Source organism: Homo sapiens, chromosome X, assembly GCF_000001405.40.
Source record: "Homo sapiens chromosome X, GRCh38.p14 Primary Assembly".
NCBI classification, from domain to species: Eukaryota; Metazoa; Chordata; class Mammalia; order Primates; family Hominidae; genus Homo; species Homo sapiens.
Genome location: NC_000023.11, coordinates 8320400 through 8347517, shown reverse-complemented (window position 1 = coordinate 8347517; position 27118 = coordinate 8320400). Strand labels below are relative to the sequence as shown.

The 27118-nt window shown below is 40.3% G+C and overlaps 1 long non-coding RNA gene across 3 annotated transcripts in view, besides 1 other annotated feature; it reads right to left on the bottom strand.

Moving 5' to 3' along the window:
• LOC107985675 (uncharacterized) overlaps positions 1 to 27118 on the bottom strand; it is a 528885-nt gene that overhangs the window by 108867 nt on the left and 392900 nt on the right. The window lies entirely within an intron of this gene.
• Positions 1179 to 2378: an enhancer, noted in NCBI's record as "P300/CBP strongly-dependent group 1 enhancer chrX:8313181-8314380 (GRCh37/hg19 assembly coordinates)". NCBI's record gives its function as "activates an origin of replication core promoter dependent on BRD2, BRD4, P300/CBP, MED14 and CDK7 cofactors, with strong dependence on P300/CBP, by STARR-seq in HCT116 cells {active_cell/tissue: HCT116}" and the evidence as "EXISTENCE:reporter gene assay evidence [ECO:0000049][PMID:35650434]".

The following is a 27118-nucleotide window of genomic DNA, read 5'->3' as shown; positions in this document are numbered from 1 at the left end:
AACCATCTTGCAGTTTCGGGACAGGCTTCCTCTCCTCCATACCTACTTGTTAAAATAGTTAGCACGTTATGCTAGAATTGTTATACTACACTAGAATTGCATTTACTGTAGGCAAGCAAGGTATTTCTGAGAAACAGGGATGTTATGAGGAAGTAGGTTTTTCTGCATACAAGTTATAAAAACACGCAGCCTCAGGCAGCATCATTAAAGTGCAGTGCTGCATCAGTATGGGCAACCCTCCCATCTGCCAGGTAAACCTGTCTTCGCTGTGTGAGAAGGATTCATTTGGGGTGTCTGCTGTAAGGTGGACAATGTGGGCACCTTTGCAAATGGCTAAGAAGTCTGTTAAGCTACTTGGAAGAAAACAGTTACTCCTCCCAGCCTCCCCTGTTCTGGCATGTGTATACATGGACACACCCATTTGCACACAGAGGCACGTGCACACTCCTCCCCCATACAGTTAGTCTCATCCAAGTTAAGTAGGAGGGAGAGCTGGACTGAGAAGTTTATGCAAGTTGATCCCAAAGTAACTGTAATCATAAAAATTGGTTGCAACAAATTGATCGTAATCACAAAAATTGGTGGTAAGCTAGGCAATGACTCTCCCCTAATGAACCAATGGAGTGATCTAAGGTAGTGTTTCCCAAACTCAAATCACTTGGTGTTCTTCAGAGAAACAGAGCTAATAGGATCTATGTATCTATATCTACATATTTTAGATGCCTAACGTGTGTGTGTGTGTGTGTGTGCGCGCACGTGCATGCATGTGTGTACATATATTTAGAATACACACACACATAAAGAGAGTTATTATAAGATATTGGCTCATGCAATTATGGAGGCTGAGAAGGCCCACAGTCTGCCTTCTGCAGCCTGGAGACCCAGGAAAGCTGGTGATGTAGTTCGAAGGTCTGAGAACCCAAGAGCCAATGGTGTAGATTCCAGTCTGGGTCTGAAAGCCTGAGAACCAGGAGCACCCAGGGCTCAAAGATTCGAAGACTGATGTCCCAGCTCAAGCAGCCAGGGAAAGAGAAGGAGAATCCAACCATTCTCTGCCTTTCTGTTCTAGAGGCCATCAGTGGATTGGATGGTGCCCACCCTGATATTGGGGAGGGTGTGTGTTCTTTATCAGCCTACCATGTCAAATGCTAATGTACTGTGGAAATACCCTCACAGACACACCCAGAAATAATGTTTAACCATTTATGCAGGCATAAAGTGGCCCAGTCAGGTTGACACATGAAGTTACCACTGTGGTATGAAAAGGGGCATGCTGATTGAGCAGGTCTGAGTGAAGTCTGAGTCAGTGTATTTCTAGCATGCTTCCGGGAGATGCTGATGCAGTGGGTCTGGGGACCTCACTTAGTAGCAGGGTCCTAACCTGAGGTTTTTGGCCCAGCCATTTCTATACCATCCTTCTGCACCAATAAAGATCTATAAATGCAGATGGTGGAGTGGAATGTTGAGGTGACTCTCCATGGGAAACAGCTAGACCTTTATTGGGAGAAACATGTTGAGATGCTGGGAGGTCTGGTCTGGCCCTAGATTTAGCTTACTGAGTTGTCAGATCCTGGTCTACCGACTTCCGCCTCACATCCCAAATGGCAGAGGCTGTGTGGGGTGACGGAGAAGCCCTTAATCCTGAAACAGGAACCGAGTGTGTTGGTGTATGGACTGGCCAGCTTGTCTTCAGTTAAAATCCATCAATTCAGTACCTTTTAGGTGCCCGTGGGTGCTGAGCATGAAGAGGTGGACACTGCTTAACCATTGCAGGCTAAGCTATGCATCAAGTCATGCAGAGGAGATCAAAGGGTCTCACCAGATGACTCATTTCACTGATGGTGCATCTGAGTTCCAGGTGAGTCATGGGGCTTTCTTAGGATCACACAGTTGGCTCCGGCCAGGACTGGGACCCTGATTTCTCAATGGAGAATCCAGTGCTCCTTGCTTCTCCTCCAGGAGCCAATAAAAACCACAGACAGCACAGTGGAGAGCCTTTAATTGGAGTCTGGCCCCGAATTAAACTTTCCCAGCTGGTATTTTCATACCAGCCCTCAGGATCTAGTTCATTTTCTCGATTGTGTTCACATTCCCATTACACAGTATTAATCACAGAAATATTTCCTGCCATGAAAGACTCTAATTAATTTCCCGTGCGTCTTTGGTCTGTTAAACTTAAGCCATTGCATACCTTGGGGTCCACCAACATCTTTAAAATATCGTCCAAGTTGGAAGCTTAGATGTGGAAGGTACAAATAAACCAACAGCAGCCCGGATTAGCCTGAAGGATGATTTTGGTTCACAGAAAAATAAACCGTGATTTAACAACCTTGTCTGATCTTGCGTGAGCGAGTCACAGTGCTCGAATATGCCTGGGCAGGAGGCCGCCTTATAATGATGAATTATGGATGAAAAACCTACACATTTTCTGCTGAATCTGGGGAGCATGAATGCCCCCTTCAGAAGGCTGGGAATTTCCCTTATGTGCCTCCATTTTGAGGAATAAAATGAATCACTAAAATGCATGAATAATTCGACCAACATGAAATTAGTACTATTCGCCATACATCACAAAGTTTGGGTGAAGTACTCGGCAGAGAGGCAAATTGTATGAGGAGGGGTAAAGAATTACAGCTTTCAAAATGCTTAGTTGTCTAAAGGCCAAAGATATTTTTTTAAAAAAACTTTATTCCTGAATGTCATCTCATGCATAGAGAAGAGTATAACATCAAATTTGATGATAAGCCTCAAGTATCTTGGAAGATGAATTGGATAGCTGGAAAAATTGGAACAAAATTCCATCCCTTGGGGGACATATTTCTAACTTCCTGGGGACCTTAATTTATGGTGAATTTACACATTATACAATTTTACCATTTCAACAAACCAGAGCATGCCAAATCAGATAGACTTATTCATGCATAGGGAAATAAGAGATAAGAATGAACTATCTGCCTTACCCAAAATTTTGCATGCAGAGCCCACCAAACTATCCATCTATCTATTATCTATCATCTGTGTATTATCTATTAATCTATCTAATATCTATCTATCTACCTACCTATCTTGAAACGAATTACTTGTGTGTTAAACAAGCACACCTGAGCTTGTCCTGATTTGGTTTTGTTTTCTTTTGTTTGAGACAGAGTCTCACTCTGTCTCCCAGGGTGGAGCACAGCGGTGTGATCTTGGCACACTGCAACCTCTACTTCCTGGGCTCAAGCGATTCTCCTGCCTCAGCCTCCCAAGTAGCTGGGATTACAGGTGCCTGCCAACACGCCCGGCTAATTTTTGTATTTTTAGTAGAGATGGGGTTTCGCCATGTTGGGCAGACTGATCTCAAACTCCTGACCTCAAGTGATCCGCCCGCCTCGGCCTCCCAGAGTGCTGGGATTATAGGCGCGAGCCACTGTGCCCAGCCTTGCCCTGATTTTGAATGAACAATTTCTGTGGCTAGTTTGATAAATCCCATGTAAATCACTGATTTCTATGCCCGATATACAGAAGGTTTACAATAGTATTAGTTCTCTTTCCTTTTCTATTGAGACAGGAGTCTTTGTATTATATAACTTTATGGATGGAAGGAATATTGAAAATTAGTTGTTCAACTATCTCGTGAAAAAACAAAACAAAACAGTTTAGGTGCAGTGGCTCACTCCTGTAATTCCAGCACCTTGGAAGGCCAAGGAGGGAGGATAGCTTGAGCCCAGGAGTTTGAGACCAACCCGGCAACATGGTGATACCCAATCTTTACAAAGAATTCAAGAATTACCTGGGTGTGGTAGCACATGCTTATAGTCCCAGCTACTTGCGAGGCTGAGGCAAGAGGATGGCTTTGAGCCTAGGTGTTTGAGGCTGCAGTGAGTTATGATCACATCACTGCATTCCAGCCTGGGGAATAGAGGGAGAACTTGTCTCAAAATAAGTAAGTAAATAAATAAATTAAAATAAAACCAAAGTAAGACACAGGAAAAAAAACCTTCAGAGCAGATATGTTTGTTATAATCAATTACTTTAAGGGTATGTCAACATAGATAACCTCAAATTAAAATATGAATGGTCACTGAATGAGTCTGAGAAAATAAGTAATTTATGGAATTCAAGGTGGTCCCCTTCCCCAACCTATTGTCTCTCAACCCAGCCACCATATTTTCCTTTGCTTCAAATAAAATATATAAAATGACTCTCTTACCACAGGGCCCTTGCATATGCTTTTAACCTCTACCTGAAATGCTCTCTCTCTGTATCTTAGCATGGCTCATTCCTTGTCCTTCAATTATTAGCTTTATCCCATTTTGTACTTGTGTATTTGTTTAAATAGTTTTTTTATACAGTTTTCTTTTTCTTTCTTTCTTTTTTTCTTTTTTTGAAACAGGGTCTTCCTCTATCACCCAGGTTGAAGTGCAGTGGCAGTGGCATGATCACTGCTCACTGCAGCCTCGACCTCCTGAGCCCATGATCCTCCCACTTTAGCCCCCCAAGTAGCAGAGACCAAAGAAAGGCAGGTATCATCACAGCTTGCTATTTTTAATTACTTTGTATAGCCCGGGATCTCATTATGTTGCCCCAGCTGGTCTTGAACTCTTGGGCTCAAGTGATCCTCCCACCTTGGCCTCCCACAGTGCTGTGATTACAGGCATAAACCACTGTGCCCAGCCTGTTTAAATAGTCACATTTTGACTCCCGGTAAGTTATAAGCACAAGGAAAGAAGAAATAGCAAATCTCAGGGTTATTGCAGTATACCTAGTACAGGGCCTGCTGCCTGGCAAATAGTAGGCACTTGCTAGACATTGATTGTATAAATAAATGAACTGCTTTGGATCTTTATTTACCTTCCTAGGTTCCATCAAATAGAGTCATTCTATGTATTCAGTCCAAGGCACGGCATGGGTTAAGATATCCCCAGAAATACATTCTCTGTTTAGAATCTGGTCCCCAGTGCTGCTGGGGCAGCCCAGACAAACCAGGACATGTACCATACTCTTGCTGCAGTAGCATCAGAGCTTCCACTGGAGCCTACACATCTCAGGTGACTAAATAACAATCATAATATGCTGGAGCCTATTCCAGCCTTGGGTGGGTGTAACCCCGGGGGAAACTCTGGAGAGGGTAGGAGGATTAGCTAACTACAGGATAATTTGCTTGGGTAATGTGTACCGAGGACACACTTACGTAGGTGGAAAAGGGAAGTCTGATGAGTCACAAAGACCTGGCACAGATCGTGAAAGCACAGGGAGAAAACCTAAACTCCATCCAGGGTGGCATGGAAGCCATCTTGGGACATTAATTAGAAAGCCTGAAAGCAGACAGGAAATCAGGAAATGGAGGAATTGAAGAAATCACAGAGGTGGAGGTAGTGCTGGTGGCAAGAGATTCAAGAAATTAAAAGAAAAAGAGGAGGAAGAGAAAGAGGAGGAGGAGAAGCAGGAGGAGGGAGGCAATGATTCAAGGCAACGTGCTTGCAAGCAGCTATTCAAGTCAGACAACACAATTTGGCATCCTGTGGGTGCAGAGCAGTGATACCCCCCTCTCCTGGGTTATTTATGGTTTCCCGAAATGAAGAAGACGAGAAGTCCCATGGCTGAATGTATGCAGCATGCTGAGTTGTTAGAAACATTTCCAGCTTAGATATTTATTTCTATGCAGAGTTACCAACACTCTTGTCCAATTTGGAAATAACAAAAGAACAAGCAAGACTTAGAACTTCTTCTCTGCACTCATAATCTTGGCATGTAAGGATGATGCAGAGTCAAAATTGTGGGCTTCATTTATTTAGTCATTTATTAGTAGATTTATTCAACAAATGGTTATATAAATCACATTCTACATCCTTGATACTGTTAGGCACTGGGGGTGAAAGAAAGAAGGAAAGAAAGGAAAGAAAGAAAAAAGAAAGAAAGAAAGAAAGAAAGAAAGAAAGAAAGAAAGAAAGAAAGAGAAAGAAAGAAAGAGAAAGAAAGACAGTTCCTGCCCTTTAGAAGTCTTCAAAGAACCACACAAAAAATTATACCATGTTGTGCTCTAGTTATAGAGAGACTTATAGACATAGGAACCCATCTGGGGTATCAGGGACAGCTCCCAATAGAGTTGCTGTCACAATGGCTTTGCTAAACTTTCCGAAGTCATTTTTGACCACATATGCATTCATTTCACAAATGTCCCTTGAGATCCCAATAGATGACACTGACTTGCAAAAATGAACAGGAAATTGTTCCTGCCCATAGTTGGATGTAAATAGTGATCTTTGAAAAGAGCATCTCTCTCAGATGTCCAGTGTTAGAGGATCCAGTTTTCAAAAACTTCACACTGTGTATACGTCTCACCCCAAGATGTGCCCCAGTCGTTTTGTTACTGTGTATTTTGCCTGAAAAGTTCTATATTTTGATTAAGGTCACTTAAAAAAAGTAGGTATCATTCAAGGGTGTAGCATCAACTCAAATTAGTTCTTGTTTACAATGTTACCTCATTGGATTCAGAAGGACCTGGGCTTCTAGCAGAGCTAATAGAATGGAATCAGGAAGTTAGCAAGACTTCTAAGGCCAGTCACCAGTGGCTCACACCTGTAGTCCCAGCACTTTGGGAGGCCGAGGTGGGCAAATCACCTGAGGTCAGGGGTTTGAGACCAGCCTGCCCAACATGGGGAAACCCCCATCTCTCCTAAAAATACAAAAATTAGCCAGCTGTGATGGCACATGCCTGTAATCCCAGCTACTTGGGAGGCTGAGGCAGGAGAATCACTTGAACTAGGGAAGTGGAAGTTGCAGTGAGCCAAGATCACGCCACTGCACTCCAGCATGGGCGACAAAGCAAGACTTTGTCTCAAAAAAAGACATTAGTAAGACTTCTAGAGAAAGTAACTTATTGGTATGGTTTGGATCTGTGTCCCCCCACCCAAATTTGATGTCCCTTTGTAATCCCCAATATTGGAGGTGGGGCCTGGTGGGAGGGGACTGGGTCATGGGGGCGAATTTCCCCCTTGGTGCTGTTCTTGTGATAAAGAGTGAATTCTCAGGAGATCTGGTTTTTTAAGAGTGTGTGGCAATGTCCCGCAACTTGCTCCTGCTCCAGCCAGGTAAGACGCTCCTTTTTCCCCTTCGCCTTCTGCCATGATCGTAAGTACCCTGAGGCCTCCCCAGAAGCTCAGCAGAAGCTGCTATGCTTCCTGTACAGCTTGCGGAACCATGAGCCAATTAAAGCCCTTTCTTTATAAATTACCCAGTCTCTGGTATTTCTTTATAGCAGTGCAAGAAAACACACTTATCATCTTGACAGTGCCTGGATGTGGCATTTAATTAAGCAACAGCGCATTACGCTCCATGGATGCCCGGAAGACAGGGCACTGTGAACGATGACAGAATAGTCCAGATCCCTTGCTTCTTACATTTGATGTCCCTGTTAGAGGCACAGGAATGAAAATTTCTTTTGTATTTGTATTCGTTTCCAGTGGCTGCTGTAATACATTATCACAAATGGGGTGACTTAAAGCAAACTAAATGTGTTATCTCACATTTCTGGAGGCTACAAGTCTAAAATCAAGGGGTCAGCAGAGCTGTGCTCTCTCTGAAGGCTTTTAGGACAATCCTTCCTTGCCTCTTCTAAATCTTTGTGGTTGCTAGAAGTCCTTGACATTCATTGGTTTGTAGATGTATCACTTCAATCTCTGTGTCTATTATTATAAGGCATGTTCCTCCGTCTGTATCTCTGTGTCCATATTTCCCTCTTCTTTCTTTTTCTTCTTTTTTTTTTTTTTTGACAGGCTCTTGCTCAAATTTTGCCCAGGCTGGAGTGCAGTGAACATGACTCACTGTAGCTTTCAACTCCTGGGATCAGGTGATCCTCCTGCCTCAGCCTCTCTTGTAGCTGGGACCAAAGGCACATGCCACCATGCCTGGCTAATTTTTTAAAAATTATTTATTGTAGAGATGGGGTTTCATCATGCTGCTCCAGATGGTCTCCAGCTCCTGGGTTTAAGCCATCCTCCCGCCTTGGCCTCCCAATGTGCTGGCATTACAGGCATGAGCCACTGCACCTGACCATATTTCCCACTTCTTATAAGGACATCAGTCATTGCATTTAGGTCCCACCCTACATTAGCATGACCTCAATCTGCCTTGATTACATTAGTAAACACCTATTTCCAAATAAGGTCCCATTCACAGGTTCTGGGTAGACACAAATTTTGGGTGGCATTATTCAATCCAGTACAGTGCAGAGTTTTTTTTAAAAAATGCTAAATACAGGTTTACCTGCTTTATGTTAGCTTTCTAATTAGCCTCATACTTTATACAAGTGTTACAAGAAAATTACACTACCTCCCTTCAAAAATCTGCTTTGGGCTTAAGGGTGACTAGCTCAATTTTGTCCTGGGTTTCAGGAAACCCCTCAATCCCAGGCTAGCTGGGGTGGTTGCTCACCAAATAAACTCCTTCCAGCCCTTGGCTGCCACCAATTTCTGTCACAGAACAAGCTATTTGTTCTTCTTCCAGTTTAAGTCAGGATTATTTCTTCATGGATAATCTGCTGAGCATTTTCCCAGAGGCGGACACTGGGGTCTGTGGTCTGCCCTATGTCTCAGGATCCACTAGTGACTGGACATCTGAGCATGGCGGCAGGGGCTGGACCAGTGAGGACAGAGCAGCACCTTGGTCTCTGGGACTTCTGGCTCCTCCATGGACCACTGGGCTCATGGTCCTCGTGGGGAGAAATGCAGATGCAGGTCATTTGGTTTTCATTGTTCCTCAATCTCATTGGTAAACTTGAGACTTGTAAACATAGTCTTGTACTTTGGGGTGCTCTTATCTTCTCCCCAAATTCACTTGCCCTCACACTGCCCACTCCCTGCCTAGCCTTCATTCGGAGACCCATACGTGGGCTTCCATGTTCCATATCTACCCATTTTCCTGCTCTAATCCAATTTTGTTTAGTCAGGAGATGGGGAAATCAAATTAACTTGGCAAACAGAATAGAAGGCTATTGACAGTTAACCATGAGTGAACCTGTTAACTCTTCCCTGGCATTCAATTGTCACATCTCAATACTTTAAGGTAAATGGTAAAGAAAAGCCAGAATTGTCTAGGAAAATCTTATGAATGACCAAACGGTGACGTTTTCTTCAGTTGTGCATTCCTCCCTTATTCTGCTTTTCGTCCCATCTTAGACAGCCATCTGAGTCCATGTTTGCTCATCTGTGGGGACTATAGACAGAGCTGGGTCATTTTTTTTTCCTTCTTACTGGAGACTGAAACTAATACGAAAGATGCAAATCATCTCTGTCTCAACTGAAATGATGGAAAAGAGAGCGCCAAAAGATATCCTTGAAATCTGCATACGTTAATTATTTACTGAATAGCTGTTGTGCACCAAGTTCCCTCAAAACATTGTCTATTTATTCCTCACAGTTACTCAGTAGGGGAAGTCTGAGATGTTTTACAAATGTTCAGAGAGTGAATGGCTCTATTAAATCATCTCAAAGAAATTCAGCTCAACAGATACTTGTTGAAGTTTGACTGTGTATGAAACAATATTGTAGATCCTGGTTATTTACAGAACAAGGCAATAATTCCTAACCTTTTATCAATATTGCATTACTGGCTGGGCACAGTTGGTCACACCTATAATCCCAGCACTTTGAGATGTCACGGGAGGAAGATCACTTGAGGTCAGGAGTTCAAGACCAGCCTGGGCAACATAGGGAGACCCTGTCTCTACAATAATAAAAATAAAAAGTAGCTGGGTGTGGTGGCACTTGCCTGTAGTACCAGCTACTTAGGAGGCTGAAGCAGGAGGATCTCTTGAGCCCAGGAGTTCGAGGCTGCTGTAAGCTATGATGGCACCACTGTACTCCAGCCTGCATCCCTGCAGACACATTGTGTGTGTCAATAAAAAATGATTTCAGAGGGTGATAAATGCTGTGGAAACAATAAGACAGGGTCATGCAACAGTGGGTGTGAACCTCTTAAGATGGGATGCTCAGGGAAACCCTCCCTGAGGAGAGGACATTGGAATTTAAACTTAGTGATAAAGGAGCCAGGTATTATAGGTGAAGGTCTGGAGGAAGAGCTTCCCTGAAGGAAGGAACAGCAGATGCAACGTTCCTGAGGCATGAGAGCACTTGGCAGTTCATGTTGGAGGAGCAGAGTGAAGATCATGTGCTTCATACGCAAAGGAGAGCACGGTACACAATGAGGTCAGAGACCAGGAAAGCTGTGTGATGATGTACTGACCTTATTCTGCACACAGTAGATGCCTGTAAAGGGGCTTAAACAGGGAATGCCATGATCATATTTATGCTTTAAAAAGCATGCTGAAAGGCATGAGGAAGATGATTTGCAGTGCTGCAAGAGAAGAAGAGTCATTTGTGAAGAAGCTGTTGGAATCGTCAAGGCAAATGAGGATAATGACTTTTGTGGGGCAGAAGTGGATGAAGAGATGTGGATGGATTCATGCGTATTTTGGCAGATCTCAAAACAGTACTTACGGAGCATTCTATCAAACCAACCAAACACAGCAGCCACCACTGAGAAGGTAAAGAACATGAATGCGCTTTCTTGTTATAAGAGGTTTTTTTTCCTTTTAAATGGAAAGTCAAAGAACCATCCTTCCTTCTATCTGTTTATTGCTTTGCTGGTTACCCCTGTGCCAGATGCATCAACTGTTACCACATGAGTGGGAAAATGAGAAAAACGTTCATCAATCCATTTTTTAAAAAATAATCAGACTGTAGAAAATCCATAAAAGCTTCAGAAGTATTATTAGATGTGGTTAGCATAAAACAAAGCATTCAGATTAAAAGCTTCCTGTATTGAGGCAATCTCTTCAGTACTCAGAATTACAAGGAAGGTTAAAATATTTTATCAGTTTAATAAATGCTCTCTTGATGGAGAAAGCTTTTTTTTTTTTCTTCTGCCACAGGGACAGTGGTAACCAGAGAAAAGGAAAACATTTGAGTTAATACTTTTAATTTATATATGTATATGTGGGTAAGGTAAAAAATAACCAACTGTTTCTCTTACTATAGTCCCAATACAACACACTTCTGGTCACCAAAATGTGAAGCAATTCTGCAACATCAGCAGGGCATCCTACAATGTAACTCAATTCTGACACTACCTGGAAATAGTATCAGTCTCAGAGGTTAAGGGCTCAGTCCCACAAAACTGCTCCCTCCACCCCCACTTTAAACACTAATTACAGGCCAATGGTTGTTCCTCTGTGCTTCTGAATAACCACCTATAAATCAGAATTCCCATGACCCTCTACTCAGGTTCAATACATTTGCAAGAATGACTCACAGAACTCAGGGAAACATTTATGTTTACCAGTTTAATATATTAATAAAGGATACGATGAAGGATACACGTGAAGAGCCAGAAAAAGAGAGACATAGGGTGAGGGTCCCCAGCACAGATGCTTCTGTCCCTGTGCAGCTGAGATGAGCCACCCTCCTGGCACATGGATCTGTTCGTCACGGTGAAAGAAACTTAACCCCATACTTTTCATATTTTTATGGAGAATTTATCACATAGGGATGGTCAATTATCAGGGAGTTTCTGTGCCTGTACTGAGAAGACTGTCTTATCCTCTGCAGCTATAATGCTGAGATGGCCAAAGAGCAAAGGGCTTGACCTCCTAGGTCACAAAATGGCAATCTTAGTTGAATAACCATGTTGATTGAATGGGTAGCTTAACCGGTTTTCTTATAAGAAAGTAAGGCTCCAGATAGAGGAAAATGAGGGGCCCTCAGAATTTAAATCAAGGCCTATGAGGAGGTTTGGGAAGTTGAGAGTACACTAAGCTGCAGCCTCTCCTTGGAGCCAAGGCAGCCACTTATTTCCACTTTGGGGAGAGAGTCTGTAGGGACCATGCCTGTTGGAGTGGATTGATCATAAGCAACTGCCACCTACCCTGTAATTATCTTTCCTGAGATGACCAGTAGGGTAGGTTCCTTTTGTAAGTTGTCGAGGAAAGTGGCATCATCCATGAATAGTTCTGTAACGACTTGTTTTATGCAGAATGGAGAGGCTGGTGGGAGAGCTGGAAACAGGGCCCCTGCTTTTAAGGGAATAAGTATCTTAGACATCCACAGCAAGATAACCTGGTTGTCAGAGTAGCAGCAGAGCAGGCATGAGAATTAGAAAGAGTCTGCCCCACAGGATACGTGGAGGTGGCAAATGATTGAAAAATCCCTACCAGCAAAGAAGATGCATAGTGCCCCAAACTCTTCATTGCTTTGTATAAAGAAATAAACAAAAAATCCCAAACTGGCAAAGAGAGTCCTCATGTGAACTGACATAAGAGTTCTCATCCTTCACGAATTTCAAGACCCGTGTCAGTCCTTAGATTCAGAGCCCCTGGACTGAATGGGGGGGCTGAAAGTCCTCGAAAAGATGTCCTTCAATAATATCTCAAATATGTATGTACTATGATCTCCCTCCTGGAAAGAGTTATTGTGCACCAAGGAAATGGATAGACCTGAGTTGTTTAAGGTTTAGTAGATGCTACATCTGAGAAGCAGCACTGTCAGAGCGTGACATTATGGGGTTAGTTGATACTAGAGGTCTGACATGAGTCTACTTTACAAGAAGTCAGATATGACCAGTATTGCGTCCCGTGTCTATTTCTCCATTTCTTAACTGTATATCTGGAATAGATCATTTTAACCTGGGGGTGCAAGCCCCACATGGGCTTCCTGATGCTAAAAGTCCAATGAGCCCCTGTCACTCTCTCTTACCACCCAAATGGTAAATTCACACTACCCACTATATCTCTGGTGTCCTTTTAAGAGATGTATGCCATCACCAGGTTTAGCCTTCTCTTCAGGTATAACAGCAATACACTTTCACCATCTATGATCTTGTGCCATACTTTGGTCTACAAGGTCCTTCGTTACTTCTATCTCTATCTTCCATCCTTGAGCAAGGATCAACCCATGATCCACTATTAATGATATCATACTGATAGGACCTGGAAAGCAGGGTGTAGTAAACACTATACATACTTTGGTAAAGCCCATGCTGACACAGCGTTCTGCCATCCTGTTAAGATTTCCTCAGACCTACTGAACTGGTTTAAGGTAGGACAGCCATGCCACAGGAGAGGAATGTTGCCCCATCATAAAGTAGGCACATTGCCTTGTAGGTATCCTTGGACTTTGTAGTCAGTACTACATGAGATTGTTCCAGGCTCACCCGTTGACTCAGCAACTTCAATGATGCCAGATTCCAGTGATGCCTTTAGCAAGATAAGGTTGACCAGATGACTCTCCCATTTATTATTTTTTCAGTTTCTAAAGATAGCAAGAATATTATAATCCATCATATCCCTCCCAGTCTTTGTTGTTATTAAGAGTAGCTTGCTACCCATTTCTATCCTGAAGACTTTCTGGGCCACCCAGGAAAGAACTAGCTGTCTGATTTTTGCACTATATGCACTATCTGTACATGACTACTTTCTCAAATCTCACCTAAATCATGAAGTGTTTCCTCTTGGTACACTCTTCCTTAATGGAAGTGGCTTTTCCATGAGTTCGACTGGGCAAATTATCACTAATCTTCTGTACTAAGAAGAATATTTTATCATCTATAGCTAAAGAGCTGAGATGGCCAAAATAGCAAAACGCTTGACGTCCTAGGTCCCTAACTGGTAATCCCACTTGAACCACAATGTTGACTGAATGGGTAGCCTAACTGGTTCTCTTATGTAAGTGAGTTCTCTTCCATCTTCTAGACAGAAGCCATATAATTGCTCTAATATTTGAAGTTCTCTAAGGAATTCTCCCTGAATTTTAATAGAAGCAGCTAGTATTTATTGAGTACTTATTACATGCTAGGAACTTAAGTCATATATCCTTATAACACCATGGGGCAAGTGCTAACATTATTTCCCTTTTCCAGATGGACAGTCTTAGGCACAGAACACTCCATTAATTTGCTCAAAGTCATGCAGTTCTCAAGGGACAAAGCCAGGATATGAACCAATGCATTCAGGCATCAGAACCACAATCTTAGTACTAAAAATATAGTTATCCTACATTTTAAAGGACATCTTTAGAATCACCTAGGAGAGTCCTGTGAATGAGTAAATGTTTAACTCAAAATTTGGACAATGATTTAAACACAACAATTTTTTTGCTTGTTTTTAAAAACACCTAAAAATACCTAAGCAATTAACAAAGGCAGACAAGAAAACACAAACAAAAGGAAAGAGACAAACAAAACAAAACACCCACTGAGAAGTATTTTTCTTTTTAGAAATGATGTCTCTATATTATAGTGCTTCAATACAAAGGATTCTGTATTCTTACTTGTGTTTTTATGGAAGTAGAAAACTGCCCTGTTTCCAAGGCAAAAGCTTTCTTCTTAAGATGCCTCAGACCAAACACATCCCTGGCTACCCAGAGTGGCAAAAGAAAAGGGCAAGAGGAAATCTGAGAACCAGTCAAAAAAATACATTTCAGAGAGGAAGATGAGTTTGCTTTTCCCTTTGAAAAACCAAAAAGAGTCATGTGGCAGGAAACCGAGGGAAGATTTCACCAAGTTCCCACTTCCATCGAAAGTTTATGTAGGAAAAAAAATTAACCAGATTCCAATGAAGGAGCCAACTAAATGCCAACCTAAAAAAAAATCTGTGTTATGGATAAGGACAGTTAGACCATCTCTATGAAAATACGTTACTTGGTTTACAGGGAACATATTATGAGAGAATCAATAATCAAATACTGTAACTAAGCTGCATATGATAAGATGTTCTGAAATCAATTTAGATGGGAAATCCCCAAGCCTTGTAAACAGAAACAGATGTATGGTCAGCAATGATTAATTATGAACTGTCACACAAATGTTTGCAATTCTGTTCACTTATTGAATCTAGAAGGCCCTTTAGTATTTGGTATGTAACAGTTTGGGTACTGGAGAAAGATTCCCTGATTTCAAACTTCAACCTTTTTGGCTGGCTATTCTGGAGTAGATGATTTAAACCATGGAAGCCGCAGTTTCCTTCTCTGTAAAGTTGGAAAAATAAAGCTTGATATTTCCCTGATAGTGTTGATAGGATTAGATGAAATCACCCTTGCATATCATCTAGTCTGGTACATAATAAATGCTTAATGAATACTGGGTACTATTAATTTTAGAGTCTTTCCAAAATGCTAATTTGTAAGCTTTGCTCTTGTTTAAAAATAAAACAGACTTCCAGATACCCTTAACATATTTTTGTTATATAAATGATACTATCAAAATAAAAATTCTTCAGAATAAACGCACTTACATAGTTCCCCCAAATATTGCCCCATTACAAAATAATACAATAATTTTTCTGATCTTTGGGAAGACATGTAAATCATATGGATTGCAGAAAATAAAATTCATCCAGTGGCAAACTTGAGAAAAAAAAGGCTCCCATCCTATTTTATCTCTAAGTTGATTTCCTGAATACAGTATGCAAAATGAGCTTGATGATTTTCAAGATGAACTCTAGCTCTAAAATGTCTCCTGGGAATGACACATCCCTTGAGTTTTTTCAGAAAGTCTTACTGTGGGAAATAGCACCATTCCAGAGTTTACCTCCTAGGGAAGCTTCTATGATTTTATACAGCTACTACTTCTTCCTCTTCTTCCTCTCTCTCTCTCTCTCTCTCACTGTCATTCACTCTGTCATTTTTATTTGTATTCCTGATCCAATGCTCAGTCCTTATCCATCCCTCTTGTCTCCTAACAATTTTTTCTCTGTCCTTTGCCTTTGTCCGCTCACAGTTTTTCTGCATTCAGTCTTAGCTAATGTGTTTTTAATTATTAGTTTAATTGTTGCTATTTTGCATCATTTGTTGCCACTAAGTGCAACAGCGTCCCATAAATTATTAAATTAGATTTCATGCATTCAGTCACAAAACTTGTATTAAGGGCCTGCTTTTTGCCAGTCTGAGGTCTAGGAGCCAAGGAGATGTGGTCAATGAATGGCAATTCCCTGTGTCAAGAATCCACTGCTGTAAACTTTTTCTAAACTGGAATCCACAGCCCTCCAGACCCTTAAGTCCTCATGCGTCTTTGCCAATCTAAGAAGTCTCTATTCAAGCAAACTGGTTTCCGCTCCCTGACTTCCACAATCCTCCAACGATTCCTCACAATGTGCTCTCTCATGTGCTCCATATTTTTATTCCAGTTGTGCTCCTGCTTTATAAAGAATCCTCCCAACGTTAGACCACTCACCCAGATTCAAACATAACCTCCCTTTCAGGGATAGTTCTGTCTTGGTGAAGCATTCTCAACCACTCTGGCCTGCAATGACCTTCCTGACCTCCAGTAGAGTTTCCTTCTAACACCCCTTCTCTGTGAGATCAGGTGGTCTATCTAGGCATGCTGTTGGGAATGTGCTCACTCAGCCTCCCTCCTTGTGCTATGTCTTTTTTGTACCTCTGCAAGAACCTGATCCGTTGTGGAGAGATTCACTAAAAAGCCCCTGGGGTTGAATGCACCAAGTATGTGTAATGCACAGCCAGGCATTTCCTTTTGCTGTGATTGTGTATGTGATCCAGAGGAAAATTAAAGAAAGGTCTCCCCTCCTTCTAAATCCAGTGATCAGGCCAAATTATTCAAGTGTTCTGTTGTTCATTGGAGGAAAATGTTGTTCAGTGACTAATATATTATATATATACACACATATGTATATTTATATCATACATATATTATTACTTTACATATGTTATGTGTGAATGTATACATGTAATCAAAATACATGATTCTTGATTGCAGCATTGAAAATTCAAGTATTAAAATCTGTCTTTTCCAAACCAGGTTTTGTTTCAAAATTATAGGTGGAATGCAGTAAAGTCTCAGTCATGTCACACACATCTTGAGACAGAACCCCACAGGTTTTGATGAGTTAGTAAATGTTTCCTCTTTGAGTCTACTGAGTGCCCAAGTTTCAAAAAGCAGTCATTTAAAACATGAGAGTTTGAGGACAGATGAAAACTATAAAATATAAGATACCACTGATTAGTTTAATAGTTGAATTCAATAGCTATGGCTCAATGAAGCTCAGAAATCTATACATTCAATTTATGATGAAAAGAAAGATTCACCATGAAGGGACTGTGGGCTGTGCTCAAAGTGAGATGTTGTAAGGAATCTAAGGATGAAAACACCACTACGTTATGAGCAGACTTTATAGCAATTCTTGTCTGTAAAATCATTACATTTTCTCCATCGGTCTTCAAGGAACTTTGATTTAAATCAAGGCCTTTAAGTCATGAATCTCACAACAAATTAATGGTGTAAATTCACGAATTTCATAAAGCAGGCATAGGCAGTTATACTATCAGCCCCACTTAAGCTGCATTCATGTCTCTTTCTACTCACTCCTCTAGAACATTTGACATAAGCCTTGTTGAGTTAACGGAATTATGCCAGAACACAGTGCATGCTATGAATTCATTATCTGAAATTAGTGAAACTGTATTTCTGCAGTACAGTGCATCATACACGGCTACAGTGGAACATACTATATTGGTCACATCTTTTCCCACTCAGAAAGGTCTTTGCAAAGCTATAACTTAACAATGCGCCATGACTTTTAGTGAGATATCTTCGTTTGGATTCCTTCAAAGGAAATCGTGAGTGAAGGATTTAAAGGCAGGCTGTTTATTTGGGAAGGCATCCTAGAAAGAACCACTGAGGAAATATAAAGTTTCTAAAAAGAAATGAAGAAAATCTAGAATAGATTCTCACCGTGAGTATATAGAGCTTCTTCCAACTGAAGACTCTGAGAATCCTCAGAATTGTCCAACCAAATAATGCAGAAGTGGAGGCATTGATCTATTGGGGAGTGTTTGCCTCTGAGGGTTGCTTTAGGGGAGCTATCTACTCTGTATTTCCTGGTCATGACTGCCCAGGCTGGACCAAGCTCCAATGAAGCTAGCTTCTGTGAATACAAGAGCTACTCAAGCCTGAGCAAACTATACATCAGCATTCCAGAACCTGAGCTATGCAGTTGAAGTCATGTGGCATTAAAAGATCTGTTATCAGACAATAGAAGTCAATATGATCCTGCTTTTTGGAAAACCATAATTACAATATTGTCTTTATTTTATTTTATTATTTTTTTGAGACACAGCCTTGCTCTGTTGCCCAGGCTAGAGTGCAGTAGCACAGTCTCGGCTCACTGCAACCTCCGCCTTCCAGTTCAAGAGATTCTCTTGCCTCAGCCTCCCGAGTAGCTGGGATTACAGGCATGCACCACCACACCTGGCTAATTTTTGCATTTTTGGTAAAGACAGGGTTTCACCACGTTGGCCAGGCTGGTCTCAAACTCCTGACCTCAGGTGATCCACCTGCCTTGGCCTCCCAAAGTGCTGGGAGACAATATTGTCTTTGTACAGTTTAATATAAAAGTATGTGCCATAAACACCTTGCAGACTCAGGAACACAGCAGTCTCCTCTAAGGACAGAGCAGTCATCATCTCATTAGAAAACAAGCACCTTCAACTCATTGTGTTTCTCTCCTTGCTAGGGCTCCTAGGAACTCAAGTTTTCAGCTGCCCTTCAATAACTTACCTTCCCTTTGCATTTCTTTTGTAATTATTTCATCACCATAGTAATGTCAAGATTTTATCCTGAATTTTCTAGATTTTTCATCCCTTCAAGTGTCTTAGATATTGTCTCAAATCCATTTCAGAACTAAAAGAAAAGGGCCTGGATTACAAATAACAAATAAAAGGCCAACCCACGGAAAGGAATAATTCATTATGATATTTAGTAGGAGCCAAGGGAATTGAGTCAGAGATAATACTTGTGTTGAGTCTGTGCTTTTTTCAAGGTGTGATATATTTATTTTGAACCCCACATGTCTTCGTTGTGCAGATAAGGAACTCAAGTTTCCAGGGAACCAAATGTCCTGCCTAAAGTCAATCATCTAGTGAATGGAAGAGCCAAGACCTGCAGGCAAGTCTGGTTCCATCTGTTGTGTTCTTTATGCTATGGCCTTTGGGTACTGAAAACACAGTGACTCATAGTAGATCATTTGTAACAATGGAGAGATGCAATATATATCTGTAATCATATATTACATATTGTTATTTCTGCTTTCCTTTAACTTTGAAACTTTTCCAAAATCATAGCGATAATGGAGAACGCAAGATTTAGCCTCAAGTCAACATTTCCTCTTCTTTTGAAATATTTCTAGAGCTGGTTGGTAATTTACAAAAGAGCTAGATTATGAATCATTTTAATCTGATATTATTTATTTTGAAAAGCAGATTAATGATGGGTACACATTTCAACTGAAGTTTGCTTGTGTTTTGGGAGCCTTGGTGCTTCCACAGGGATGGTGCAGGGAGAAACAGTACTTACAAACTGCTGGTTCCCACTGACCTGGCCCATTTGCTTTGGACAAAGCTCATGCCGAACAGCCTTCTTTCTAAATAACTGCGGCTTTCCAAATCCCATCATGTCACAGTGTGTACTTAGTCATGGGTATGAATAAATTTTTATTTCATAAGCCAATTTTATGGCAGTCACCAAGTCAAACTATTTGTATGATAAACTTCCTTGATTTGTTTAAAATAACCATCCTGATGGTAAATAGTGGGCACCTCAGAGGAGTTAGCCAATTCCAAGACTTTTCCATCTCAAGGTACTTGTTCGGCCAAACGATTATTTATTCTGGACTCAGAGGACACACCTGGCTTAGTTCAGAAAGTTTAGTTAGTTCACAAAAATGGGTGCTAGTAGGCAAGGGTGATTTCAAATATTGAATAGTGGCATAAAGGTATGCAGTGATCAGAATGGAACTGCCTAGTTCAGAATGACATTTTCTACAAGCAGATATACACAGACTGGTGCATTCAGGTGGGATAGTCCTGGAATTAAATATATCCAGGGATTCTTTATCTGATAGCAAATTTCACAAAATCCAAGGCAGTGGGGTTCAAATTAGTAGTTTATGACTTCAACAGAAAATGTGGACCATAGATGTTTCCTGTTTCCAAATTGGATTGAGATGAATTTAAATGTGTTAATTTGCTTCAGTAGATTCACATCTAAAAATAACAGTGAGAGAAATGTATATACTATCAACAAAATTCAGTTTGCTTGGGAACCAAAACAGCCTTTCACATTGCACATCCTCAGTGATTTCTAAACAGCTGGCAAGGGCTTAAAAATCATCAAAGGTATTTATTAATAACAAACTCAGCATCAAACTTTTGAGACATTAGCATAGCTTTATTTGTATTTTCATTTTGTGACCATTTCTCTAGTGGGAGGAGACTTGACACACGCAGACAATCTGTAGTGAGTTCAGCAATGATACTCATGAATTGAACAAATGCTCACACATACATGCAAAACAGAAAGTTACTCTAGGTAGAGAAATGGATCTCTTATATTCAACTAGAGACAAAGGAAAAGAGATGGCATCATTTTTCTTACCAGCTGTCATCAATGCTTGATATGTCATATAGCTAGATGTAGGTGATTTTTGAAATTCGTAAATGATTGGAAACAATTCAAGTATCCCTTAACAGAGATTGCTAAATAAACTATGGTGAACTACACGATAAAACATTATACATCTGCACCAAAACAAAACAAAACAAAAAAGTGTAAGATTGTTATTAATCAGTTTGGAGAGAAAGTAGTGTTTAATGGTTTATATTAGCATAAAGAAACTAATAAAAGTAGTTATTTATAGTGGGTAGGGTTGGGCTGAATGGAGAAAAGAGTAGAGGATGGGAGTGAGGTCCTCCATACTTTTTTATGTTAAATGAGTTTGTTTTTCTTTCTGCAAAGTTTTCAGGACTTTGCAGCCTTTGTCTCTTACATCCAGACATTGCTTCAGGGGTTTATTATCCTCTCAAGAAAACCTTCCTTGAATGTTCGGCTGGACATAATTTCCCAATTAAATGCCCTATTATACATTAGTAGTAGTAGTATTTTGAGATAGGGTCCTGCTTTGTCACCCAAGCTGGAGTGCAGTGGTGTGATCACCATAACCTCCTCTGCCTCTCGGGCTCAATCGATTCTCCCACCTCAGACTCCCAAGTAGCTAGGACTACAGGCATGCACCTCTACGCTGGGCTGATTTTTGTATTTTTTGTAGAGATGGGGTTTTGCCATGTTGCCTAGGCTGGTCTTGAACTCCTGGGGTCAAGTGATCCACCCACTTGGGCCTCCCAATGTGCTGGGATTACAGGTGTGAGTCACCACGCCCAGCCTATAAGATGTTCTTAGAGCCCTGTACTTTTTCTTCTTTGTGGTTGTCTTTATTGCAATTGTGTATGTGTGTATATATATATTTGTTTACTTATATTTGTTTACTTATTTGATGTTTCTCCTCAAACGCTAGCCTGGGGTCCCTCAAGAACAGGGTCTCAGTTTCTGACTAACTAATTGCTGAATCTCCAATACCTGACATTTCTCAGCTCAGGTTGGCTTCCAAGACCCGTTTCTTGATTGAATAAATGACAGTGCATCCACATCACCCAGCTAATATAAACAAACTTTCATTTTCTGTCTGCATCTGCTTTTTAAATCCACTTTATTTGGGCAATATAGATGGCATTGAGACCCACAGGAAAAATTTTTCAGAAACACATTTATCATTATCCTTTCATACAATAAATTCTATAAAAATACTTTTGCTTATTAACTTTGTATTTGGAAAACATTCTGATGGCAAATAGTGGGCATGAAAAGATGGTGAAACATGAAAGGCGGTGCTCATTTTCTATGTCCAAAATTCTGCAATTACTAAAATTTGTGTGCAAAACTGAGCGAAATACCTGTTTATCGGGCAATTTGGCCATGAGGGAGAAGTGAAATATCTGCAATGCATTTGCTCTTGTCCCCCTTTCCTGTACCGTATTACTGCGACGCTTTCATTTCACTTATTATGACACAATCTCTATCTCAAAAAAAAAAAAAAAAAAAAGGCCACAGGCTTCTTTTTCATTACTTTCAGCATGAGCTTTTTTTCTTTTATAAAAATTATTTGCGAAATGCTTACTCCACTTTTTTCTTCATCCTTTCTTCTGGCAGTCTTACATATTTCAAAGTTTTGGAAATTAAATATTTGCATAAATATCCCAATAGATAATGCATCTTTTACTTTTATTTCAGAACACAAGTAAACTCTTCATTTGGGTACAGTATTTCATTTTTTCAAGCTTTCCAAGATAAAATACTATTTTTCCTCTCAAACTAATAAGTAATAAACAATGCAAGACCAAGTAGTAACACTTAAAAAAAAATTTTAGAAAAGTTTATTATTCTTTTACTTTTGCTTCACATATTTTTACTTTTAATAACTGTTATAAATTTTCTATTTCAATTTGTAACCATGTTTATGGTTATGCTTTAAAATTTAATTTAATGTTTAGCTTTCAAAAAAATATTTTCAAGTGACAAATAATTTTGCATAGCTATGGGGTACAATGTGATGTTTTGATCTATGTATATATTGTAGAAAGATTCAATCAAGCTGATTAACATATCCAAAATACTTTTAATCATTACTTGAGATGAATTTGTGGGTTAAATTGGCAGAAATGTAAGAGTGATTAAAATTTATTTTGTGCTGTGAACTGATCTAAACATCTGGTGATACTGGACCACTAAATAGTGCTGTCCATGACACCAGACCATTGAACTTTAGTTATTGGTCTGCTCCTCCAGCTGCTGTAACATATGTTAATTTCTCACAACTGTACCTCTCTCTCTACTAAATTGCCAGTGACCTTCAGACAAGGCTCCAGTGGGTCTTCCAGAGCACCCATGGGATCTAGCTGACCCATTCTCCAGCTGAGACTACATCCTTGTCTTAGGCTGCTCTCCTCATCCCTCTTGTTCCAAAACGCATGCACTGTCAATCACCTGCAGCAACATCCTTATCTCAGGCTCTGCTCCCAGGGAGGCTGACTTATGACTGTGTTTGAAAATATCATAGAATTATGGGAAAGTGATCAGTACTTTATGATATGCTTGTATCCAAAACTTTAGTTTTTGTATAATGTTTTGAGAGATGACTGCCAACAATGTGGCAAGTAAAATTATTGTTTGACACGTATTTTATTTAACCCCCTAGTGTTTTTTTTTCTTATCTGTAAAATAACAATAAGCACATCTAACTAATGAGTTTATTGGGTCAGTTAAATAATTTAGCATAAGGAGAAAGGGCTGCTGTGCCTGTACTAGGTACAAGGAAATTAGGATTAGTTTTTCTTTAATTACTGGATAGGTTATGAATAAATGTAGCAGAACATTGACTGGAATAATCAGTTGAGAAATTCTGGTACTTTTTTTCCTAGTAATATCTGGTGAATTTTCTAATTCAAGATTTTATGTAGAAAAGAAGTAGGTTCAAGTGAAAATATATAAACTATATCATGTTTCCCAAATGGACTTGACTATACAATTAACTTATATTCTTGACCATGGTATTTTAGTACGCATTTCAAATCCTTCTACAGTGATGTTTGGAAACGCTTAATGTTAATGACTCAGCATCTCTGTGACTTTCATCCTTAGCAGGAGGCAAATACCCATTGGAGACTATTATAACACAGTTGACCCTTGAACAACATGGGTATGATCTGTGCAGGTCTACTTAAACAGGGATTTTTCTCATGACTCTGCCACTCCTGATGATGCAGGATTTTTCTCGGCCTCTTGGCTAGACTTGCGGAAGGAGCACCCCATCTACTCAGCTCACCATGCTCAACCCCTTGCAGGAGAGAGCACGTGAGTGAGCAAGTGCAGGATCCAGCCAGCCACTCTGGGCACCGACACAGGAGCAAGCTCTGTGCAGGGCCCGTGGCTAGACCAGGTATATCACCTTGAGGTGAATGTGGCAGCACCCAGGTGAGGGTGCCCATGAACCCTAAGCCCCAGACAGGGTGTTACAGTGCTCTCTTAGTTCTGTCATCCGTGGACAGCAATGTTAGCAGCTCAGTTGGTCCCTGGTGATGGTGCCCTCTGCTGGTGAGGGCAAAGGGTCAGTATGACAGCCTTTCTGGGTACCTGCAGTCAATAGGTCCCAAGCTCTTGTCTGGTGTCCAAGAAGAATGAAGTTGCACAGACAATTGAAGGATGGTGAAGGCAGAGAATTTTATTGAGCTATGAAAATGGGAGGGGAGCTAAAGAGGGGACGGGAAGGGAAGGTCATCTTCCCCAAAGTCAGATGAGTCTGGGTTCTTTACAGGCACAGGATGGGGAGTGCACACTGACTGGTTTGTGAGTATGCAAAAAAGGTTAAAATGAAGACACCACTCAAAAATGGGCATGACAGCATAGAAAACCAATTAAGGAAGGGTAGGTATATGTAAAATAGGTGAAGGGTGGGGATCAATCAGAGGAAAGAGTGCCAAACAGGAAGATGAGTTCTCAATCCACTCCAGGGATTTAACTTGTAGCTTGGCTTTCAGACTTTAAACTGTGTTGAGCTTGGAGGTGGGGTTTCACTGGGGACCTGCCCCTATCTGCCTAGGCATTTGGCTGCCTCCTGTCACTATCACCAAGACAGCAAGACCAACCCCTCTTCTTCCTCCTCCTCCTCAGCCTCAATGTGAAGACGATGAGGATGAAGACCTTTATGTGGATCCACTCCACTCAATGAATAGTAAATATATTTTCTCTTCCTTATGACTTTCTTTTTTTGAGATGGAGTCTCGCTCTGTCACCCAGGCTGGAGTGCAGTGGTGCGATCTCGGCTCACTGCAAGCTCTGCCTCATGGGTTCAGGCCGTTCTCCTGCCTCAGCCTCCTGAGTAGCTGGGACTACAGGCACCGGCCACCACACCCAGCTAATTTTTTTGTATTTTTAGTAGAGATGGGGTTTCACCATGTTAGCCAGGATGGTCTCCATCTCCTGACCTCGTGATCCGCCTGCCTCGGCCTCCCAAGTGCTGGGATTACAGGCATGAGCCACTGCGCCCAGCCCCCTTATGACTTTCTCAATAACATTTTCTTTGTTCTGGCTTACTTTATTTTATGAATACAGTATGTAGAACATATAAAACATGTGTTAGTCTGCTGTTTATGTTATTGGTAAGGCTTCCTGTCAACAGCAGGGTATTAGTAGTTAAGTTTTTGGGGAGTCAAAAATTATAAATGGATTTGACTGCAGAAGGTCAGTGCCCCTAACTCCCATATTGGTCAACTTTATTTTTTTCATTTACATGTATTGCTATTTTTATGTTTTAGTTTTTACCCTTTAGAAAACATTTTACTCTATTTTTTGGATAGAGATTTGACAATCATAATAAAAAGAATGTCCCAGACATATCTTTAGTACAAAAAGCTGATAGTGCACCTTTGTACTACTCAACAAAAGCAAAAAAAAAAAAAAATCACTCCAAAAAGTTGCAAGAAAAGTATCTTCCCTTTCTGCATCCTCCTCTACCTTCCCCAGCCCCTGGTAACCACCATCTACTTTCTACTTCTAGAAGTTCAACTGTTTTATTTGACTTAACAAAATGTCCTCCAGGCTCATCCATCTTGTCACAAATGACAGTATTTCCTGTTTTTTTTTTTTTTTTTGAGTTGAATAGTATTCCATTGTGTATATGTACTACATTTTAAAATCCACTCTTCTTTGATGAACATTTAGGTTGTTTCCACATCTTGGCTGTCATGAATAATGCTGCAATAAACATGGGAGTGCAGACATCCCTTTAGCATACTGATTTGATTTCCTTTGGTAGATACAGAAAAGTGGGATTGCTGGATCATATGGTATCAGATAAGCAGAATAAGTTCTGGTGTTCTGTTGCACAGCAAGCTTGCTAAGGTTAATAATAATGTATTATATATTTCAAAATACATAAAACAGGATTTTAAATGTTCTTACCATGAAGAAATGATAAATATTTGAGGTTATGGGTATGCTACTCTTTCTAATTTGGTCATTCCACAATGTGTACAAGTATCAAAATACCACTTTGTACTATAAGTATATACAATTATTGTCAGTTAAAAATAAAACACAGCTTAAAAAAGAACGGCAAGAAAACCTTACAAACTATTTGAAAAGATAAATAATTTGCATATTTGCATTTCTCTCTCTCTTTTTTTAATGCAGACGTCTATGATCGTGAATCACTTCTTTTACTTACAGAAGACAGAAGCATTAGCTTGTGCTTTTGGAAATAATCCACAAGGATTTCAGGAAGAAATCAGATTTAGAAAATATCTCCAAGTCTGTAAGAATCAACTTCATGATTCAAGCGAGGGCTTCTCTTTTAAGTTTTTTTTTTTTTAAGTTTCTTATCACTATGCCAAGATGAGCATAATAGATTTTCCAAGAGAAGATTCTGACTTTCTACCCCCAAGACAATTTGAAATGTTCTATGTCAGAAATTCAGGACAAAACTTCATTGTCTTTGACAGAACTTCAAATTGTTTCCTCTATCATGATGGCTCATCACCTGCTTTTGTGTTTTGAGAGTTGAAGTGTTTTACCATCAGATTGTTCTGCTTAAATTCCTCTTCTAGCCTAAAATTCCCTAAACATAAAATTCATGTAGCATAACATTATGCTTCGTTGAACCCATTGTATGTTTTTTTTTTTCTGAGTCAGGTAAAAGAAAAATAGTGTAGAAATAAACTTTAATGATCACACTTTTTTATAGAGAATCAGACTTAAATGCTCACATATTTTTAAAAGAGGTCTTTCATTCTTACAGGTGTCTTCAATATATTCATCTGAATAGCTAAAGGAACATTAATGTTTCAGAATCTCTTCTGATTTACTGCTTAATAATATTTAATATGATCCTTGATGCTGAATATGTGTTTTAAAATGTCTACTACAGGAATTAAGAAAATAGCAATGCATGAGGTGCTGAGTCATTAATGGCATAGCTAGAGCATGCTACTTGATTTTTCTGGAATGATCTTTACTTGCAAGTAAGAGTTCCAGGCAGTGACTTCTGAGGTTTCTGATGGGTCTAAATTGTAAAATTTAAACGAGTCCCATTTCTGCAAAATGCCAGAGTCTCAACTGGTTATAAAATGTAAGTCATTGTGGATTATGGTCAAGGTAAGAGTGACTTCAGGTGTTGGGGCTATCCTCCAAGGAAGTTTAAATAAGATATATGTTCATCTGCATAGCACCCAAATCTGGGGGTAAT